Consider the following 23345-nt stretch of genomic DNA (forward strand, 5'->3'; position numbering starts at 1 on the left):
TTTCTAGGCAGGCACACCGCGAGGTACTGTGATGGACGCACATGGCATATGATGTAATTCTCTGCTCAGAGTCTCCAGCCTAGTATAGCAAATAAGGAGTGGTCCCAATCCCAAGCTTTCAGAGGGCAGAGGGCCAAAAATTGTTGGGGTAAAAGTTTTAATAAAGGTTTGTTTGATCTGGAACTTGAAGGATGTATAGGATTTTAGTAAGAGACATATGGGTCAGGCATTTATGAAAGAAATGGTGTGAGCAAGGAACAGAAAAATATGTTTAGGGAATACGGGGTAGACTAGCTGGACAACATAGAAGTGTGTGTTGGACAGAAGTGAAAAATAGTGAAAAGCAAATTGGAAAAGTACACGTTCCGTGAAAAGCCTGTATATGCAAAGCATTCCCCAAATGTTAAAGGAGCTGAGAAATAAAAGAATGAGGTAGACAGATACAGATTGTCGGTAAAGGATGTTTAATTGGGGGAACTTAAAGACAGAAGCATGGTCTTGGTGTACTGGGCAACTAAGATTGTGGAAGATGTGGCATGAAACTAAGGATTTATATTTTCTGGGTCAGGTATGGTGGCTCATGCCTGTAATCTAACACTTTGGGAAGCCAAGTTGGGAGGATCGCTTGAGACTAGGAGTTTGAAATCAGTCTGGGCAAAATAGTGAGACCTCATCTCTAAAAATAAATAAATAAAATAATAATTAAGAAATAGATGAAGATTGTGTTTGCTAGGAAATAGGGGGCTACTGAAGGATTCCGTGCAGGGTATACTGTTATGTCAAAACAATGTTTTGGAGATCATTGTCTGGTATGCATGAAGGATTGGCCAAGGAAGAGAATTGAAATGATAGTGCAGAATAATGGCAATTGGATTCCATGGCATTCCCTGAATTATTGCAAAAAAAAAAAAAAAACTCTTCTGAGCTAATGTGATTAGGTTTCTGTTCCTTATAATAAGTAAATTACCCTTAAGACAAAGTAGAGTCAAAAAAGCACAGAAATCAGGAAGGCAAGGGTTAAAATAAGAGGGGTAGCCAACAGTGTCAGATGCTTTCAAGGGTCAAAAAGGCCAAGGACTGGAAAAAGCAAGTGTATTTGGCAATTTGGAAGCCACTGATAACCTTCAAGAAAGCTGTTTCCTTAGAGAGGAGAGGAGAGGAGAGCTAGACTGAGGAGGGTGCATGGGAGTGGATGGGGCCACAGTGTGGATGGGTCATTTAGGACAAAAAGTGCTCTGAAAGTCCTAAGATATGTGCTGGGGGACACGTGGTTAAGCAAGGGTTTCACCAAGCTTTGGGACTGTGCATGTTTGTGAGCAAGAGGAAAAGACCTAGGAGAGGCAGTGGATGCTGCAGGCATCTAGGCAGGGTGTGCAGTAGGTCAGCAGAACAGAGTGTCATGTACCAGCTGATGGGTTGGGCCTGGAATTAAGAGGAAAGGAAGCCAGGATGGGCAAGAAGATAGAATGAGGTGGAAGAGAGCAACTAGACAGTAATATCCTGTATTAGTTCATTCTCATGCTGCTATAAAGAACTGCCCGAGACTGGGTAATTTACGAAGGAAAGAGGTTGAATTGACTCACAGTTCCGCATGGCTTGGGAGGCCTCAGGAAACTTACAATTATGGAGGAAGGGGAAGCAAACACTTCCTTCTTCACATGGCGTCAGGAGAGATAAGTGCAGAGCAAGGAGTGGGGGAAAGCCCCTTTTAAAACTATCAGATCTCGTGAGAACTCACTCGCTATCATAAAGACAGCATGGGGGTAACTACCGCCCCATGATTCAATTCCCTCCCACAGCACATGGAGATTATGGGAACTGCAATTCAAGATAAGATTTGGGTGGGGACACAGCCAAACCATATCACACCCAGAAAGCTAGGGTTAGGTTCACAGCTGAGAGGACAGTGTGGAAGTCACAGTGCAGCAGCCTGCTGGATTAGCAAGAGATGTTGAAGGAGAAGCTAGATTAGCAAGTGAGAGACTTACACATGACCACTTGCCATGGTAAACAGGGCCTGAAGGATCAGCCACCTCAGAGGGGGATGTCAGGCCAACTCAAGGAATGTGAGCTGCTGTGAGCAGGTGCTGGGACCCTGGTCCCACAGAGAAGACAGACCCTGCACCAGGAGGGGAGCAATCTGTGCAGAGAGTCCTGGGCAGGGCCAGGGAGCCAAATTGGACAAAAGGGCACAGGCAGAGGTGGAACAGAGGCAGGGCTGTCTCAGGGAACCAAGCTGGGGTGGAACAAGGGAAGGCAGCCATGCAGAATGTGGGGCAGGCATTTAGGGTCTTAAGATCCGGGACAAGGGCTGCCTTCCCCCAACCCTACGGAGTGTCTTGGTAAAGGTGGCAGAAGCATCTGCTCTCCAGAGTGAGGTGAGTTCTGTGGGGGTAGCACAGAGTGGCGGAGAGAGCCCTGGACTTGAAGTCAGACATAAAGGCTGAGAGGCAGCATAGCTCCATGCTGAGGCACTCAGCCGGGCAGTCAGACCACCTGAGGGCAGATTTCTGCTCTGCAACTCTTCAGCTGTGTGGGTGCTCCTGGTCAAGCCACCTAACCTGTCCAAGCCTCAGTTCCCTCATGTACAAAGTGAGGATGCTGAGATCAGCTTCCAGGCCATAGGGCTGTGCAGAGGATTAGGATAATATCTATAAAGCAGTGAATACAGGGCTTGGCACAGAGCAAATGCTCAGTAAACACTGGTTAATATGTCTGTCTTTTTCTCCTTATATACTCAGTGTCTGACACATAATGGGAGCTCAAAAAATATTTTTGAAAGAATGAATTACTGTTATTACCTGTGTAGCCTTGAGTACAGAAGACTGTGAGCTCCATGGAGTTCTGGTCTATATTTTATTCTTCTAGCCCTTAACACAGTGTTTGATAAAGGAACCTGCATATATTCACTAAGATTCAGTTTCCTCATCTATAAAGTGGGGCTAACAATATTTGTCTTACCCCAAGGTCAAACGAGATAATATATGTAAACCATGACACAGCTGTTGGTTTTGCATGTACGTGCACACACACACACAGAGAGAGAGAGAGAGAGAGAGAGAGAGAGAGAGAGAGAGAGAGTATGGCTATTATCTGTAGCAGAGGCAGCTGCCTGGGCCCTGGGGAGCCCTAGGTCTTCCACCCAGTTTGACAGGAGCTGAATGATAGGCCCATTGAGCTGCAGAAATGCCCCATTAAAGGAGAAGACAGGAATTTGCTGAGGACCTGGTCAGCTGGCATCTGTGTGGTTTTCTCCATCAAGGAGGAAGTCCGGGGCTGGGCACAGGACTAGAGATGTGCAGGAGACTGCTGTAAGCCAGCGTGGTCTGAGGTCTGGGTTGGACAGGCAAGGAGACACAGGTTACTAGACACAGGTCACGGGCCTTGTTGGGGCAGAGAACAGACAGGACTTGCCTGGTGAAGGGTAGGGCTATCATATAAAGACAGACCAGGTGAGCTCTTGCTGGTCACCGCTCATGGGGAAATGGATGGGAAAACAGAAAGGCCATTTTCAGATCAGAAAAGGCCTATTCTGCTAGCCCAGGGCTCTGTCCAACCAGACAGAGGGGTAGGCCTGGAATTAATAGGAAAGGAAGTCAAGATGGACAAGAAGATAGGACAAGGTGGAAGACAGTAACTAGAGAGTGACACCCAGAGACCTTGGCCTTCTCATAGGTACATAAGTGGTGAGGTTATCAGCTGAGAGGAGGGTGTGAAGTCACGGCTTGAGGAAGGAGAAGTTGGAGCAGCAACTGAGAAGCTAGCTTGGGGGCCAGCTAATTCTGCCGGGTTGACTGCCCCCTCTTCATGATGGTGAAATTCCCCCACAATGACTATCTGGAATTTTTAATATAAGTCACTGAGTGCCCTGTATCTGTCAAGACAAATGGGCCACGTGGTGTTGGACCCTTTGCTCACCTGCATTTCCACCTCCTCTGTCCATACCTTGTGCATGTACTGTTCTGCCTGCTGGATCTACCTCCTACTGTGGATATCCCATCCCAGTGGCAAAATCAAGACAACAAAATCCTTCTAGTTGTCTCTTTCCTGCTGCAGCTAGTGGGGGTAGGACTGGCTATGTCTTGAGAAATAATGGTTGGAGAAAGCAGCAAAAGCCTTCTAGTTGCTATGGAATGTTAACTGATGAGTTAAACTCTTCATTTTGATTTGAAGAAAATAGTTCTAGAAGAGATTCTTGCTTAAAAAATTTATGTATAAAGCTGCCATCTACTAAAAGCGGTCATTCAGAGGGGTCTTTGTTGCAGGCTGCCTTGAATTTCCTCAGCCAAGCATTGACACTGATCAGAATCTGGATGTTGGAGAGAATGTGCCTTAAAGTTTAGGGATAGAAAATGTTGTGTGTTAAGTATTAATGAGAAAGTACCAAATTGTACCTAGGCATTTATTTCTTTGAAGTGCTTGCTGTATAAAAATTACCTACCTGACTGCCAGTTAAGATAAACAGTTATTTTAATTACAAATGAAAGGTACATGACTATAATCTAAGATATTAGGTAAGCAGACATTTTATGGTTTGAATCATTCATCTAGAATAAAGCCCCTGCTAGAGCTGGTACCTCCCACCTGCAGGAAAAGAATAGCAAGTAGATTCTTGCTACTCAAACTGTGGAGTGGGGACTGGTGGTGCCAGCATTTTTGGGGAGCACATCAAAAAGTGTGAAATTTTGGGCCCCATCCCAGATCTCTGAATCAGAATCTGCATTTTAAAAAGGTGCCCAGGGGATTCACATGCACATTAATGTTTCAGAAGGGCTGGTCTGGATCAGCCTGACTCAAAGAGTAGCCTGTAGACCACCTACAATGAAAACATCCACAGACCTTGTTAAAAATGCAAATTCCACCCTGGGCTTGGTGGCCCACACCTGTAATTCCAGCACTTTGGGAGGCCGAGGCGGGCAGATCACAAGGTCAGGAGATCAAGACCAGCCTGGCTAACACGGTGAAACCCCATCTCTACTAAAAATACAAAAAATTAGCCAGGTGTGGTGGTGGGCACCTGTAGTCCCAGCTACTTGGGAGGCTGAGGCAGGAGAATGGCGTGAACCCAGGAGGCGGAGCTTGCAGTGAGCTGAAATTGCGCCACTGCACTCCAGCCTGGGCGACAGAGTGAGACTCCATCTCAAAAAAAAATAAATAAATAAATAAATAAATAAAAAAATTAGTGAGGCGAGTTGGTGGGCACCTGTAATCCCAGCTACTTGGGAGGCTGAGGCAGAAGAATTGCTTAAACCTGGGAGATGGAGGTTGTATTGAGTCAAGATCATGCCATTGCACTCCAACCTGGGAGAAAAGAGTGAAATTCCATCTCAAAAAAAAAAAAAAAAAAAAAAAAGAACGCAAATTCTAGAGCACTACCCAGACCTACTGATTAGAATTGCTAGACCTGGAGTCCAGGAATCAGCATTCCAAACAAACCCCAGGTGGTTTTTATGTTCACCAAAATGTGAGACCCATCCCTGGTCCTTCCAATCTCATCAGGATCCATTAAGGACCAGTTGACACATGGTGCTTTGAGTCTAGTACAAAAAAGACTTGCACAAATCTTGTCTGTGCCATTTAGGAGTTTATAATATCACTACAGTTGAACATGTAGAGAACAAGCTATGGTGTGAATACCTAGAAGGACTATATTATTGATTAATTCACAATTCACAATGCATTTGATTCTCCCTTCCACATCTGTGAATATATGTCCTCCCTGAGGATGGAGAATAACCAACATGCTGCCTCCATCCTTCCCAGTTCTGGAGCTGAGTAGATTCCCACTCCCAGGAACCATTCATTCTCTTGAGCCTATGCCTCTGCCACTCTAGCATCTTGCTCAGGGCAGACAGGAAGCCAGCGATTTTATTTCATTAGCTTTTTCCTATAAGCCCTCCCCCTTCCTCCTTGCACCCACCATGCCTTCCAAGGACCAGTTGGCCCATTCCTCTGCAGCTCTGCCCAAGTTCAGTTCCCAAGACACAGGTCAGAAAGGGGTCAGATCAAGCCTAGGCATCTGCAAGCGCCCAGTCCTTTGGGATGGCACTACCTTTCTTCTTTTCCTTTTGATATGTGCATTTGGTTTCTTCAGAAAGAGAGTGACATGCACCATAACACTCTCTTTTAGAGATAAGAGAAACCAGCCAGTATCTTTTGAAATTCAATGTACGACAAGCAGAGATGCATCAAGGTGTGATAGCAGCCCAGCCGGAGGTCTCTGTTGATTTGTAGCCTCGATAAATGGCCAGGAGGCCAGCAGACCCTCAATGGAGGTCCCTTAGAGGAACACTGTCTGTGTTGGTTTAATCCAGCCCTGACCTTGGGACTCAAAACACAGAACTAAAGAGGGACAAAGCTTTCCTTCCATTCTCATGGCCTCGTCATCTGCGTCTGTAGTTGCATAGCGCATTGATGGCTTAATCCTCTCAGCAATCCAGTGGGGTCATTATTTATCTCCCCCACCTTTCAGTGAGAAACTAAAGCCCGAGGTCAGTCATGTGCCCAAGTCACACCACTGGAAAATGTAGGGCTGGACTTTGAACTTGTTTCCTTATTCCAAATTCTAGTTTCTTTTTACCCAACCATAATGTGTTATTTTCCTCCTATTCATGAGCAAACATATTATTTCAACTAGACCAGGGATTCCTTTTGGCAAAGCTTGCTCTAAATTATACCAGTGAGTGCAGAACTAGCATGTGATACTCCTCGGCAGGTGTGATGGCCAAAAAGAAGAATTACTGCTTCTTTACTTTATGGCTCTGGCAAATTCTCGGGAGGTGTAGCTGAAAAATCAATGCCAGGTGGCTGTCGAGACGTCTCTACAGCTGGGCTGCCGTGGCATCGCCCTGGGAGAAACATCTTTGCAGCTGAGGAGCGTGGCAAGACCCTGCAGAACCCCAGACCCCACAAGGCTCCTGGTCTCTCTGTGGCAGAACATTCCTACTAACTTGGCTCAGCTCCACTTTCCTGGAGAAGGCTAATATTGAAGTAAAATGAGGGAAGAGGATATACAGCAAGAACAGCATCTAGGAGGCATGATTGCTTATCTTGAGAGGACCCCCCAGGACTGGATGTAGATGGTGATAAAGTGGGATGGTGACAGCACAAATAAGGCTCCTGTCCGCACCATCATTAGACTCCACAGATAAAGGCAGACCTGTTGTCAGAAATGCCAATCTGAGCATTACAAATCACTGACTCGACGTTGTGATTGCTAGAGCTGGGGTTCAGGAGGAAAGCGGAAGCCTGAGCAGTGACCCAGATTCTGCCCTTTGAAGGGTCTTGAAATAGCAGAGAGGACTCCTGCCAGATCCTGCTTACCTACATGCAGGAATGAGGAGGACACCATGAATGCATTCTTCCAAGGACTCTGGCACATGCCCTAGGCCTTCATCTTTGTGTGAAATAATTCCCATATATAGCGCATGAGCTGGGGCCATGTCGGGGCAATGACCCCGGTATTAGTCTCCTAGGGCTGCCGTAACAAAGTGCTGCAAATTCTGGCTCAACACAGAAACTTATCCTGTCACAGTTCTGGAGGCTAGAAGTCTGAAATCAAGGTATCAACAAGGTCACACTCCCTTCAGAGGCTCAGAGAGAAGACGTTCCCTGCCTTTTCTACCTTCTGGGGGCTGCAGGCATTGCTTGGCTTATGGCTGCATCACTTCAAGATAAACTCTTCTCAAGATCTTGACCTTCATCATGTCTTTTGCCATACAAGGTACTGTTCACAGGTTCCAAGGACTAGGACATGGACATAGCTCTTTGGGGGACCACCATTCAACCACTACATCCCCTCTGAATTGACACTTATTTTCCCATAAAACCTAACAGTTAGGATAATAATAATAATAGCAGCTAGGGAGTGTACTAGATGCTTCATTATGCAGCTCACTGAATCTTCCCAACAACTCTGCAAGGACAATGTTTGTATTTTCTTTCACAAAGAGAACACAAAAGCTCTGAAGTCCACCCTCCTTCAGATTCACCAGAGGTTTTGGGTCTGTGTCCTATGGAGTCCAAGGGTTTCTCAGAGAGTCCTCAAGAACCCTGAGTAGAAGAGGGGGAGAAAGAGACGGGCTCTGGGCCCCTAAACCCCTTCAGTCAAGTCGTTCCACTTGGATCTGATTTCTATGTTAGGATACTGCATAAGATTTTCTTTTTGTTTCAAAGGGTTACACTGAGAAAATAAAGTCTTAAAACCACCCCTGTACACTGCACTGCTTAGCAATGCTTGAGCAGGAGCCCAGGTTAAGAAGCCTTGTCTCTAGAGTCAGACACACCTGGACCCAAACCTCTTCTCTATCCTTTCCTTGTTCTGTGTCCTTGGGCAAGTTTACCTAACCTCTCTGAGTATCTCATTCCCATTTTCATTGTCTTGTGCATGCCTCTACTGACCAGTTCCCTTATATTCAATCTGGGATGTCATGAAAATAAAAATGTTTATCCAGAACAGGCAGCTCTGGCTGTATTTCTCTCGCTAGACCTTCCAGAGGAGATAGCTGGTAGCCCCAGGATGATGACATGTTCTTCTTGGCTCATATAGGAGGACACTGTTATCTACGCTGTGCCCAAGGGGTCCACATCATATGCATGGGTGCACGGTGAGGAATTCAAGGTGCAGTCATTGCCTCAGACAGGAGTCCCAAAGAGGCCACGATGACTAAACTTGCAAAGGTTGAACACCACAGGGAGCTGTGGGGCTTTCTTGATATCTTTGATAATCACACAGATTTATTTATTGACATTTGTGGGCCTCTGAATAACCTTGTAGTGAGCAACTAATGCTTCAGTGGCCAAGCACAACTCACCATAAAGGCCACGTAAGAGGCAAAGGGAATCACACCTGCTTCTGTTAAAGGCCTACGATTACAGTTGCTTCCAGATTGGATGAAACATGTGACTTCCAGGAGGCAAGTTGACTGACACCAAGTTCTTCCACATATTCCAAAACAGCTGCTTAAAGCACAGGTTCTGATAGAATTTTAGAACGCATCCTAATGTCAGCTTAGCACGTATTGACTGCTTACTGTCTGCCAGGCACAGGGCTAAGCACTTTATATGCATGTTCTCATGTTCTCCCAAATGAACCTGTTATCCCTTTTTACAGATGAGGCGTAAGAGCTCAAGTGACTTCCCAAAGGTCACTGAGTTACAAAGTGACAGTGCACGGATCAGACTGGGACTTGCGTGAGCCCCTGGTGGCTGTGCTGTCAATCCGGCACACAATTATACTCTAGGGTCAGTGTTCCTGAGGAAGAATTTGCACTGCCTGCTGTTGGGCATCTTTATTTTGGAAAGGATCTTATCCTTCTCATTAAAAATAAACAGCATATGCAGTAACAGTGATGATTAAGCAAAGCAAAACAAAACAGAAAACCTACCACTAGCACCCACAAAATATAAACAAATGAAAAAAAGTATCTTTGGGCTGATCCTCTTCTAAATCACTGAAATCTACAACTGTAGGTTCTCAAAAGGAACAAACACTAACATAACCCAGACAGTTTCCCTCAAGGCACAGCACTTTGCTGGGGTCACAAAAATGATCTCAGAGGTGTCAGGGGCAGGGAGAACTCTCTGGAGTTCTTTTTTTTTTTTGAGACCGAGTCTTTCTCTGAAAGACTGTACTCTAGCCAGGCTGGAGTACAGTGGTGTGATCTCAGCACACTGCAACCTCAGCCTCCTGGGCTCAAGTGATCCTCCCACCTCAGCCTCCCAGGTGTTTGGGACTTCAGTCACATGCCACCACACCTGGCTAATACTTGTATTTTTTTTTTTTTTGGCAGAGATATGGTCTCACTGTATTCCCCAGGCTGGCCTTGAGCTCCTGGGCTCAGTGATCCTTCCACCTTGGCCTCTTAAAGTGTTGGGATTATAGATGTGAACCACTGTGCCCAGCCAGGGCACTTATGTTAAGAGAAGGGGACCTCTCTTTGGGGAGGAGTGGGCGATGCTTTAAAAAGACATTGGGACAAGGATGTGTCTGGCATTGGCAGTCTCTCTGGAGAGGGTAATGGTAGACTTCTTAGAATGAAGAGGGACAGGTAACAGAATTGAGGTGCAGAAGTGGGTGATGGAGAAAGGGAATGAGTGATGATAAAAGCAGTGTGCTTTTATTGTGGTCCAGAGGAGGTGGGCCGGGGACAGCACCAACATCAGCAACATCAGTGACAGGAGCAGCCCCAGCTGATGTTTATTGAGGGCTTACTATAAGCCATGTGCACTGTAGCTGAATGGTCTCATTCAATCCTCATGCTCTGTAAGGCAAGACAGGGACCATTATGATCTCCATTTTACTGATGAGAAAACCAAGGCTCAGCAAGGTTAGGGAATTTGCCTGAGGCTGCACAGCTGGAAAGTAGCAGAGCCCAATTCAAACCCAGGCCCCATGGGATCCTAGAGCTCACGTTCTTAACACAGTTTTCTTCTTGCCTTTCAGCTGACTGTTCCCTGCCTTCAGTCTTCTGAAAGTGGATACATTTTTGATGCAGTGGATCAAAAATGCAGGGACTGTCCTCTGGCATTGTCTGTGTATCATACTGGAATGCAATGGACCCTCCATCCCCAGGAGGCTAGGAATGAAGTGCATGAAATACAAAAGACACACCGAATGGGGAGTTGGGGGAGGAGATGGTGGGTGAGGGGCTTGGAAACAGGAAATGGCAGGAACAATCTTTAACACATATCATAACCTATGTGACATGGCTTTGAATTTGGGGGAGATCCTCCTCCACCCAATACCCCCAGGGCTGCACAGGGGAAAGTCTCTTCCTTCTTTCTTTTAAAGCCTCCTCTAGCCTCTGCCAGGGTCTTGTAAGCAGGATACCCCACATCTCGTTTGCTGGCTCTAGGTTTCTTCTTTGGCCTCTCAAACCTGATGCCTTCTCTACTGAGGTTAATAGGAGTTTGGTACAACATCATTTCCCAACAGAGTCACACAGGGTAAAAGGGTAGTTCCACAGTAACCTCCTGGCTCCCTCAGCCCCAGGGCTCCTTAGGTGAAGGAAGCAGTTTAAAAACAGCACTGGGCATTCTGTACATTCTCAGGCTGGGGGAGAGGGTGGGTGCATCACATGCCAATTGGCAAAAGAAAGGGACAATGTCATCTCTCTCAAAGATACCTCAGTGCATTTAATGGAGAAGCAGTGGGGAATGTTAGAAATTAGTCATCCTTTGAAGAAGTGGCCATCTCTCACTGCCCTGACCCATACCCTAAGCCATACTTGTAGAGCTAGTGAATCTCCTTGTTTTTTTGTTTTTTAACCAACAGACTTTATTTTTTAAGCAGGAAGGACAGAAATTTCCCACATTACCCCCCATCGTTGACATCCCCTACCAGAGTGGTTAATTTGTTACAGTGATGACCCCACACTGACACATCATTTGAGTCCATAGAGAATATTAGGGTTCACTATTGGTTTTGTACTTTTTAGGGGTTTTGGAGCACACCCTTTCTTACTTGATAGGAAAAGGAAAGGGTGACTGGCTGGTGGCCAACCAGCAAGGTTATAATGGCCACAGCCAACTTTAGTCCTTAACCCCTGATCAGCTCACACACACTTTCTTTGCCAGAAAATACAAGCACCTGCTCTCCCAGGGGCCAGAGAGAATCCACCAGGATGAAACTAATGGGGATAAATTTCACGGGTCCTAAAAAATAAGGTCCACTCTCTACCCCTTCCCTGCTTCTTTAAAGCCATCTGCTCGGTGGTTTATTCTCATCCCAGAAGACAATGAGACAGACAAGACATGGGCACTCTGGAAATCTGAGCGCTACCCGTTCAGGTGTCAGGCCTGCAGCAGCAGCGACTGTGAAAGAGCTGCCGGCCATTATGAGACTCTGTGGGACAAGCCAGCCTTTGCAGTTAGACCTGGGTTCAAGTAACAGGTCTGTGAGTTACCAGTAATAAGTAAATGGTATGATGAGTATCACATATTCAGGTGGATCGGGGTCCCCATGACCACCCCTAGACTCAATGATTCATTGGGAGGACACACAAATCTGCATAGAATCATACTCCTGGCCAAGATTATTAAATTAAAAAATAGCAAGAAAAATAAGCAAAGGGAAAAGGCATGTGGGGTCACCAGGCACAAGCTTCCAAGAGTCTGCTGCAGGGTAAACACACCTGACAGCAACAACTTAAGCACAACTTAGAATGACCATGTGGCACATGCACCTGAATGTGTGTCCTGAGCTAGGGAATCTGGGAGTGCCCAGCTGGAAAATTCATTCCTTGTCTATAAGGAATATCTGAGCTCCTGGCTCATTCCATGGAACATGGGCTGTACAGGGCCTTGAGGCCCTGAGTTTTGGGTTGGATGAAGGTGGCCAGGTGGAGGCTGTTAAGGGGAGGGTATTAAGTAAAAATGCTATATAAACTGCATGCTGTTTGCAAGGTGTGTGGTTTTACTGCCTGGCCCCCTGCCACTCGGCCATGTGGTTATGCTGTCCAACTCACCGCCACTGGGCCATAGGTAAGGCGGATATGTTGTCCAGCCCACTGCCACTGGACTCTCTCCTCTGTATGTAAGCCCCTAATAAAACCCCATGTCTCATTTGCTGGCTCTAGATCTCTTCTTCAGCTTCTTGAACCAGGTGCCTTCCCTATTGAGGTTAATAGGGGTTTGGCACAACATCCTTCCCCAGTAGTCACACAGACAGCATTTAATTCACCCAGCAACGAGTTGTGACAACATGTGTGAAATGTTGTCTACCAGGAAGGCTCATTAGAGACTCAGTGCCCAGGGTTTTTACTTGGGGCTGGCCCCATAGGCACACTCTGCCTAGCATGTACTAAAATTACCGTCTCCCAGAAAGAAAACAGGTGTTCAGAATGAACCACATTGTATGGATAAACAGTTTAGGTACAGTGAGCCCCTGGCATCAGTTCTGGGGATGGTAGGAATGCTCCCGAAGTTCCCAGACATCAGCCAAAGGGCAACCTTGCAAGCAGGTCTTTCTGGGGATAGCGGTCTCAGCCCTGGGGACAGCAGTCCCAGCCCCGCTGTAACTTTTCTGTACAGCCTCCTTCATTGTTTGGCACACAGTATTAATAGATGGTCAATAAATTGTAGCCCCTCTTGTCAGCAGCATCACATATTTGTATCTTTTCTATACAGCAAGGAGAGACCATCATATAAACACCAGCCTCCTCCAAGTCAAACTGGAAACCCTCTTGGAAAATGAAGGACACATGCCTCCATACATACATATGCATGTGTGTATATATAGCACATGTTTCCATGATGGCCTCTCTGTACACACACGTGTGTATCTATGATAAATTAACTGCTTACATAATAAATCTTTTCCTCTCCAAATGTTGAATCATTATTCTCCCATCTATGGTCTTGGTTTGCCTTTTACAATTCTGATTAGCATGCCCTCCAAGTCTTTAGCTGAGTGATTAATAAAAACGGGTTCAACAAGGCAGGACCCTGGACAGAGCCTTTCTTCCAGCTCTAGAATCCACCTTTGGGGCATGATTCTGGCTAAGAGAATGATCATCTGGCTTATGGGTCAACATATTCAATGTAAAATGTGTAGAAAGACTGTTAACTGCTTCGCTAAAACAAAAATAAACTATGTCTACAGCATCCTGCCAATCTACCAGCCAAATGCCTCCTTGCAGGGAAACAAGGGTAGTGTGTACAGATTATTCTTAGGCAGCCAGTGTTAGCTCCTGATCCCCACACTATGTCCTAAAAATGTATAAGCCATTTGTTTGAACTCACTGTTCTTTAATTTTCAGATCCACTCTTTTTTTCTTCATGTTTGAAATATAATTTTCCTGTTCTCTTCCCTGGCTGCCCCATTTTCCAGGACCATCGTGTCATTGTGTGCAACTGGTCTTGTAATTTTTTTTTAATTTTATTTTAGCAACACTAGCCTGAGAATGGTCTTGTAATGGCCACGTGTGAGCCTCACCTGCCTTAGGCTGGAGTTTCCTTAACAGGTTATTGGTTCTACCTGCTTGAAGACCCCACCCCCAACCCTATGGAGAAGATGAAAGTCAACAGAACTTGTAACTTCTATCTTCTTTCTCTCTTAACAACATGATATTCTATCCCCAAACAACCTATCCTTTTTCTCATCTTTTGTTACTTCCAAGAAGTATAACAACACTGCACCCCAGGACATCATTACTTAGGGGGGAAAACGTCATGAAAAACTCACAGAAATTACAGAGGTTTCATTATCCTATTCTGTCTACTTTTGTATATGTTTAAAACTTTTTAATATAATTTTTTAAAAAAATCAACCAAAATATATGAGCTATATTAGAAAACACAAATTACGAGTCTGGATCTTGGGTCAGAGTGAAAGGAGGGGAGAGACTCAGCATGTGAACAGGGAGGAGACCGAGCAAGACACAGGATCTTGGAGAAATTAACCTCTATAGGGCCTTATGACCCTAAGCCCCAAGGCTCAAATACACTCTTTTCTAGTTCTTTCTCCTCTTAGGTTGGTGATGGCTAAGGAAGAGAATTCTGGACTCAATTTAAACATAGACTTCCAAGGTTCCATTCATTGACTGGATGCAGTGGCTCATGCCTATAAAGCCCCAGTAGTCTGGGAGGCCACGGTGGGAGGATTGCTTGCAGCTAGGAGTTCAAGACCAATGCTCCATGCATTGATCCCACTCCTTCCTCTAGGATAAGCACCTACTTCAGGCTAGCGTCTAATTTTAACAGTAACTGGTGAGTTTCCATGCGTACTTGGTGCTTGTGTCTCCTTTATGTCTGCTCTCTTTTTTAGAGGTGTCTTTTTTAGAACACAGATCCCAGAAGACAGTTTCTATGTCTTTAACTTTCTTCAGAAAGCCGTGGAACATCACTGTGCTCAGGAGCCCAGCAAATCCCTGTTCTCAGATGTGCAGCCTCTATGCTCGCGGTTTTCCTTCTTCATCCGGTGCCTGTCTGTGCATAGGTCTCAGGTCACGAGGGTTGGGGCTGTCTGCCAGTTTCTAAGTCAACACTCCAGGCAGAAAAAAGGGAGGGAGAAGGTGAGCAGATCTGAAGCAGCCTTGCTGAATAAGACTTTAAGGGATGAGATCACAGCCAACTACCTCGAAGTTTCTGATCCACAGAAAACAGGACACTGCGTCAGTAAGAAACACCCAGAACCATTTTTCAAAACCAGCAGCTGTAAAGGAATTAATGCAGATCACCGTTTAGTGCACACACAGCCTTATTCCTCCCTTGAAGAGCTTCACAGTCATTATTAAAGAACACATTTCAGAACATAATATTATTAGGCTACTGATTGTTGTTTGTTTCGATGTTTAATTCAGTAACAACTCGAGTTGTGGAGGGCTTTAAGTGAAACAGATGCTCTGAAGACTGGCAGAAACATTCCAATTTTCCACTGGGTTTCACAAGGAGCTTTGGCAATGCCGTGGGGACCAGGGCTACTGGTGCCATGAGGTTCTTATAGGTGGGGAATTCAGGGGCCGCTACTGAGCAAGGCTCTGCGGTCTTTCGGTACAGAAAATAGAAAAGGCAGAGAGTTCCACATGAATCCAAACAACATCTGCTCTCTCTGTCACCGCGCATTAAATTATCCAGGGCTGAAATTCAGTACACACCCCGGGCACTCTTTCAGAATGGTACCCGCGCATCTCGGTGGCATCAACATGCCAGGAGGAAAAGAATAGCAAAAAAAACCAAAACAAAAACAAAAAACAAAAAAAACAAAACTTCTTCTCTGAACATCCATAGAGATAAAAGAGACTGCACTGAGAAACCCAGTCCTAGCTGGGATGATGAGACTAAAGGTTCCAAAATTACAGCCAGGCGACACAACAGCAGCTCCTCCTCTCCCCCATAGACTGTTGGCTAGCAGGACCCCAAAGTTGTGTCTGAAATCTAGGCACAAGCAAAGCCCGAGGCCAGACTTAGAAGCAGCCTGGCCCCAGTGTCCTTGGGTCCTTTGTCATCATTTCCTGTCCAGTGCACCCCTAAAACCTTGCTTAGAACCGGCGTCCCAACCCTCCCTACTTGGTGCTTGTGTCATCTTTGTTTTGATGTCCTCTTCTTTTTCCTGGACTGGTAGTTCTCAAAGTGTGGTCTCTGACCAGGAGCACTGGCATCCCCTGGGGGCTTGTTAAAAATTCACATTTCTTGGGCCCCACCCCAGACTTCTAGAGTCAGAAACTCTGAGGATGAGGCCCAGCCATCCATGGTTTTAACAAGTTCTCCAGGTGATTCTGATGCACTCTCAATTTTAAGAACCACTGGCTTGGACTATTGCAACAGTCCGTGATGGTCTCTTGCCTCCAGAGCCAACCTTCTCAAACGGAAACCTCACCAGCTTCAGGGCCTGGCACAGCCCAGCACATTGTAGGTGTACAATAAATGTTTATTGACTGACTAAATGAAACATGACCTCTGCTTTTAAAACTCTGATGGTTACTCACAGCCTATAAAAAAATAGAAATTCCTCAGGAAGGTAGTATAATGCTTATTTGATTGTTATTGCTTGTTAGTACTATTTTTATTTGTAGCCATCATTTTATTAGCAGCATCTACATTGCTGCAGGTGCTTTGGTAAACACCATGTATTGATATTTATTTACTTTTTAAACATTTCAGCCCTGAGAGGTAGATGTAGGTCGTTGCCTTTTACAGAAGAAGAAATTGAGGCTCGGAGAGGTTGTGTAACTTGTGTAAGGACACATAGGTAGCAAGCAATGAGCTGGAGTTCAAACCCAGGTTTGTCTGTCTCCAGGACTCATACCTTAAATGTATGTCCTTTCAAAATTAGATCTTGATATGCTTTCTACACTCGCCCCACCTACCACGCTGTCTCAGGGCTCCACAGTTTGGCTTGTGCTGTCCCCTCTTTCCAGCACATCCTTTCCTCCTTCTCCTACCTGGAGATCAGACAACCACCTGAAACCACTCTGATCCTCATCCAAGACAGAATGAGCTACTTGCTAATTATACCAATGAGCCAGTGCATTACGCTGGGTGGCTTGTCGGGGCCTAAAAGCCCTAAGATGAGTATTTCCTGAAGTGTGGTCCTCAGATCACCTACATCAGAATCACATGGTGGGGGGAAGCATGTGAGAAATGACAGCCTAAGCACCCCCTCCTCCATGGTTATTCTGCACAGTAATGTTTGAGGACCACTGTCCTGCAGTGTGAGTTTGTCTTATTCACGTGGGTTCCCTGCAGCAATGCAGAGGAGTTGCCGCTTGACAGGCCATCAGAGAATGAATGAATGAGCCCTTTTCTCTTAAAAAGATTGAGGTGGGGTGGGGCATCCCATAAAACACTCATAGGAGAAAAGCCACAGCAGAAACAGCCTTTCCAGATGTGGCACCAGCTGTTGGCACGTAAGAAACAAGCTTGAGTGTGAACAGAAGACACATGTTCTGAGCCGCAAAAACTTGACTTATTGACTTTGGGAAGGCTTGCCGACCACACAGTGCTGATGATGTTATTAACGCTGAATGTATTCGCCTGACCTTATTAGGCCGTATAAAGGGCACAGGTGTCTAATTAAGTTCAGAAGTCAGCACCTCTAACTTCTTTCTCGATAGCTACTGAGCCCATCATTTACCTTGATGTTCCTGAAATGATCAGTCTTTAAAACCAAAGTAAGTTGGTCATTAGCATATGTAAGGCGCTTGTCATGATTTGTGGTAAGACTAATCTGGTGTCCCGAGAAGGAGGGCATTTCATTCTACTCATTTCATTCTACTTGGCATGACACCAGCCCAGCTGGTAGGAGACCCAGCCTTATCACCCCATCACACTTGCCACTGGGCTGTGCTCTCTCTCTCCTTCTATTCAACATGCGCACAGATGAATTGGAAGGTGACGCTGATGGGCTGGCTGATCAAATGAGCACATGACATAAAACTGGGAAAGAAAGCCAGAGTGCTGGGTGTCAGAGCTGAGATCAAAAAGAGACCTGTAGTCAGGAGTGATTGACCACAGGCTCGTGGAAGGTCCTCTTCTTGGACAGTCTCTACCCTCAGAACAAATATTAAAATAATAGCAGATAATAGCAAACATTTGTATAGAACTCTCTGTGTGCCAACTCAGCCCAAGTGCCTTTAAACACTTAATTCACTTAATTTCCAGCATCCTATGAAGTAGGTTCTATTAGTATCCTCATTTTAAAGATGAGGAAACTGAGGCAAAAGCAGTTAAGTAACTTGTCCAGGGGACTGTAAACATCATTGGATTGAACCCCCTTTTTCATTTCCACCCATGAAATCTCCCCTTTCTTTTGTAGCTGCCAGATGTACTTGAATACTCCCAATGTTGGAACACTTACTACCGCCAGAGGCAACCCTTTGCTTTTTCTTTCTTTCTTTCTTCTTTTTTGGTAAGCTCCTACTTTGTGGAAAGTTATTCTCTATACTGATTGTAATGGAGTTGTTGTTTTTTTTTTTAAACTGGATAGTTGAGTTGGAGATACTCATGTGAGGTGGCTGCTCCCTAAAGTAAAGTCATTTTAGCCTCTATGGGCTATATTAATAGAGACATGTGTAATGAACTGAAGGAAGTGACAGGCCTGCTTTTCCCTGGGCTGTGCAGCCATGCTCAGAGTGTCATGTTCAATTCTGGGCTCCTCAGTGAACTGGGGCAGGCAGTTGTCGAACTGAGCTGTGACTGAAGAAGGGTGGTCTAGTCAGTGAGAGAAGCTGAAAGCAGGATTCAGAGGTTCTGATGGAGGTGGAGATACCTGACTTGGAAAGGAGATGACAGATGGGGCAGGGGAGAGGTGATTGTGATGGCTGCCACTTGGGAGCAGCCTGGAGGGACATAAGGCTGGCCTGTTCTAGGTCATTTCTGAGTTGACTCAGGCCAAGGATAGAGCCAAGGCCACTACATAGGTAGGGAAAGCTGATTTTCTTTCTTTTTTGAGACAGTCTCACTCCATCACCCAGGCTTGAGTGCAGTGGCATGATCTCAGCTCACTGCAACCTCCACCTCCTGGGTTCAAGCAATTCTCATGCCTCAGCCTCCTGAGTAGCCACTACAGGCATGTGCCACTATACGTGGCTAATTACGGGCATGCGCCACTCCACTACACCAGCTAATTTTTGTATTTTTAGTACAGACCGGGTTTTGCCATGTTGGCCAGGCTGGTCTTGAACACCTGGCCTCAAGTGGTCTGCCCCCCTCAGCCTCCCACAGTGCTGGGATTAGAGGCATGAGCCACTGTGTCCAGTCTGATTTTCTTTTTTAAGTGCACATTTTAGTTTAGGATAGTCTTAAGTTTACAGAAAAATTGCAAGGGTAGTATAGTGAGTTCCCACACATGCCCTGCCCAGTTTCCCCTATCATTAACATCCTACATTAGTATGTTACATGGGTCACAATTACTGAACCAGTATCAATATATGATTATTTACTAATATCCACACTTCATTCAGATTTCTTTAGTTTTCCCCTAATGTCCCTTTTCTGTTCCAGGATCCCACCTAGGATACCACGTTACATTTAATTGTCATAGCTCTTTAGCTCCTCTTCGCCATGACAGTTTCTCACTTTCCTTGGTCTTGATGACCTGGACAGCTTTGAGGGGTACTGGTCAGGTATTTTTGCAGAATGTCCCTCAGTGGGATTTGTCTGATGTTTTTCTCAGGGTTAGACTGGGGTTAGTGGGTTTTTGGGAGGAAGACCACAGAAGCACCGTGCCATTTTCATCTCATCATAACCAGGGCACACACTCTCAACATGACTTGTCCCTGCTGATGTTGACCTTGATCACCTGGCTGAAGCTGTGTTTGCTGTGTTTCTCCATTGTAAAGTCACCCCCCCCCCCCCGACATCCTACATGCTTCAGAAGGAAGTCACTATGCGGCACCTACGCAGGAGTAGGGAGTTTTGCTTCAGCTCCTCTGGGGTGGTGTATCGACATCAATTATTTGGAATTCTTCTATCTGGGAGATTTGTCTATTCTCCCTCATTTATTTATTTATACAATCATTTATTTATATCAGTATAGCTTCATTGATATTTATTTGTACTTTAGGTTATAATCCAATACAACTTTATTTATGTTGTTGCTCAAATTGCTGCAGCTTTAGCCATTGGGAGCTCTTTCAGTTAGCTCCTCTGTCTCTTTGATTCATCCCATCATGGCGGCTTTTCAAGCACCTCCTTACTGTCTGCACTACCAGATGCTCCAGGCTCACTTTGTATATTTCTTGTCCCATTCCTAGAATCAGCCATTTCTCCAAGGAACCTTGTTTCCTTTTGCTGGAGAATGGTATTAGAAACCAAGATCTGGGGGCTAGGTGTGCTTGTTGATACTGGAGTGTGAGTTGCTTCTAGGGCCTCTGAGATGACAGATCAAGGAAATATATGTGTGTATACTAACCCATGTATAGACATTTATCTATAAATATTTCTATATGTAACCATCTGTATCTATATTATGTTCACACTGTCTCCAACTCTAATCCATTACCACATGAATCATCCTATCTTAGGGGAGACTGATTTTTAAACAACATTAAAAAAAAACATTCTGCAAAGTTGGATCTGGTTGCTTCTGGAAGTAGTAAGTGCTCCCTCACTGAGTGTATTAAGCAGATTGGGAAGAAATAAGGAAAGGAGGGGTCTGATGGGTAGAATTGGAAAAATTCCATTTAACTATACTCAAGGTCCCTTTCAACCCAGTGATTGTTGAAACAGAAGTGCCATATAAGGAAAGGTACATCCAAGGTACACATGGCTTCCCGGGGGCATTCTTTGTCTTCCGTCTTTCAGGAGTCTGAGATCTGGGCAAGGAGAAAGAGCTGGCATTTAGACAAATAAAGGATACACCATTCAACAGGTAGGAAATTTATGGGATTTGCAATCCAAAGAAGAGAAAACAGGCTTAAAAAATAAATGAAGCTCAAAAAGGTTTTAAATTCACAGATGACAGAGCCAGAATGGATTATGAAAGGGGAACGATGCTGGCTTGTGGGAAGGACACTTGCCAAGGTGTTGACATCTGAGGAAGTAATTCTGCTGCTCCCTTAAGGTCCTGGGTGTGCACAGAGGAGCAATTCTTTTTGTTTTTGTTTTTTTGAGGCAGAGTCTCGCTCTGTCGCTTAGGCTGGAGTGCAGTGGCACTATTTTGGCTCACTGCAACCTCCACCTCCCAGGTTCAAGCGATTCTCCTGCCTCAGCCACCCAAGTAGCTGGGATTTCAGGCACGTGCCACCATGCCTGGCTAATTTTTTTTGTATCTTTAGTAGAGATGGGGTTTCACCGTGTTAGCCAGGATGGTCTCAATCTCCTGACCTTGTGATCTGCCCGCCTCCCAAAGTGCTGGGATTACAGGTGTGAGCCACCACGCCCAGCTTGCAATTCTTTATATTTTACTGCAGCAGCCCAGGATCTAGTCGGGGTAAATGGGGCAGGCCAGAGTCTGAGAAGGAAATAAGGAATTGACTGTCCTGAACACACAGCAAGGCTGAATTCCCCAGGAAGGCAGTGCCGCCCCAGCTTTAGGACATGTTAGAAATAGGATGGCCACCCTACTGCAGGAGAAATGATCTTTCTCAACCAGCAGCTCTTCCTTCTTCCTGAAGCCTTGTCTGAAAAGACCATGAATCACCTCTTGCGGAAGGAATAGAGATGATGGGACAAAGAGAGAATTCCTACACTAGCGGGTGCTCACTAAAAATGCAGACCGTGGGTCCTATCCCCAAAGATTTTGAGCCAGTACATCTGGAGATGAGCTCAGAGATTTATTTTTAAAACCATATCTCTAGGTGATGCTGATACTGGAATTTCTCAGTCACATTTGGAGCTCTGCTGGTGGTCTTAATACCAGAGTTTGCCCAGGACAGTCTCAGTTGGTTTGCTTTCCTTTCCCCCCCATGTCAAAAGTGCCCTCATTTGGGTGACAAATTATATGGTCACTCCCTTCTTAACACTGATATGTCTTCAAGCAGCAGCAGAAGTCACATGTTGATAGGCACCTTTTTTGGCCAACGATGCCTGTACCATCCCAGCTCCAATCCAAGAGTGTATTCACCCTTGAAAGTGAGGCTTCTCAACTGGGGGAGGAGGAGCTTCTAGAATTCCTGGGGTCAGGGGACTTGGGAGCCAGGGAAGAGTAGATTGGCAAAGCTCTCAGGTGTTTTGATGCTCCATCCCCTCCCAGCCCCTTGACAATCACTACTGTAAAGAAGGAGCCAGCCTGTGGGGACAGGGCAGCCACTCCAGCCCGAGCCTTCCTTTGGGCCCCTTGCCCTTCCTTTCTCTTTCTCCTCCTCTCTTTCTCCCAAGTCTGCATTTTTCCCTGTCAATATCAAAGGGCTGCCAATGTGCTTTGCTTGTTGATGATGACTCTTGAGATTAAAAGTTAGCTGATCTTTGGACAAATGTAACCATGGAAATCTGAGACATTAACCATTGCCTGCTGGGGACCTCAGATAGGAAGCTCTTATAATCCCTCCACGCTCAGGAGTGATGAGATAGACCATGGACGACCCCACAGAGCCATTGATCAGAAACACAGATCTGATCATGCCTTATCTCCCCACCCAGACCTACTCCCAGCTTGGTAACCCTCAAAATGCCAAAACCACAGCAAAGGGTGCAAATGGTTGCTGACGCTGGAGGCAGTAGGCTTAGTCATTGGGTATCTCCTCTCCCATCCATTTTCACTCCTTGGTGACCTCACACAGTATCAGGGCTTTAAATACCATCTACCCGCTGACAACTCTCAAATTTATATCTCCACCCCAGACCTCTTCCCTGAACTCCAGACTCATATATCCAACTGCCTACTCAACATTGCTCTTGAATGTTTAATAGATATTTCAAACTTAACTTATCAAAAACTGAGCTCCCAGTAGCTCTTCTAGACCTACTCCTGCTGTCTTTCCTTTCCCAACTTCTAGCTTCCAGGTGCTCAGGCCAAAAGCTCCGAGTCTAACTGGATTCCTCTCCCATCCCATACCCAATTCCTATTGGCAAATCCTGTCGGCTCTACCTTACAATATATTAATACACAGAACATGGTTATTTCTCACACTCTGCTAATCTCTGGTTTAAGCCCATCATTTTTCATTTGGATTACTGCAAGAACTTCCTGACAGCTCTCAGCTTCCCCCTTTCCTTCCTTCAGTCTATTCTCAACATGAAAATCAGAGCATCCTTTTAAAGTGCAAGTCGCATCATGTCACCCCTTGGCTCAAAATCCTTCTCCTAACGGCTTTCTTCTCACTCAGAGAAAGAAGCCAGACTGAGCAACCTGTCCTCAGGGCCAGCGTGGTCTGCTGCTGTGGCTGCACTCAGTTCTTATTTGTCACTCCTCTCTGCTTCCTCACTCTGCTCCAGCAGAGAAGGCTACCGTGTTCCTGCCTCAG

The 23345-nt window shown here is 45.6% G+C and overlaps 1 protein-coding gene across 2 annotated transcripts in view, besides 1 other annotated feature; it reads right to left on the reverse strand.

The window, feature by feature from the left end:
- Window positions 1-23345, reverse strand: part of CRTAC1 (cartilage acidic protein 1) — a 165622-nt gene that overhangs the window by 82210 nt on the left and 60067 nt on the right. The window lies entirely within an intron of this gene.
- Window positions 5887-6585: an enhancer, noted in NCBI's record as "OCT4-NANOG hESC enhancer chr10:99712853-99713551 (GRCh37/hg19 assembly coordinates)". NCBI's record gives its function as "activates a minimal SCP1, AML or CMV promoter by ChIP-STARR-seq in naive H9 embryonic stem cells {active_cell/tissue: H9 hESC(naive)}" and the evidence as "EXISTENCE:reporter gene assay evidence [ECO:0000049][PMID:30033119]".

This window comes from Homo sapiens, chromosome 10 (assembly GCF_000001405.40).
Source record: "Homo sapiens chromosome 10, GRCh38.p14 Primary Assembly".
Classification (NCBI taxonomy): domain Eukaryota; kingdom Metazoa; phylum Chordata; class Mammalia; order Primates; family Hominidae; genus Homo; species Homo sapiens.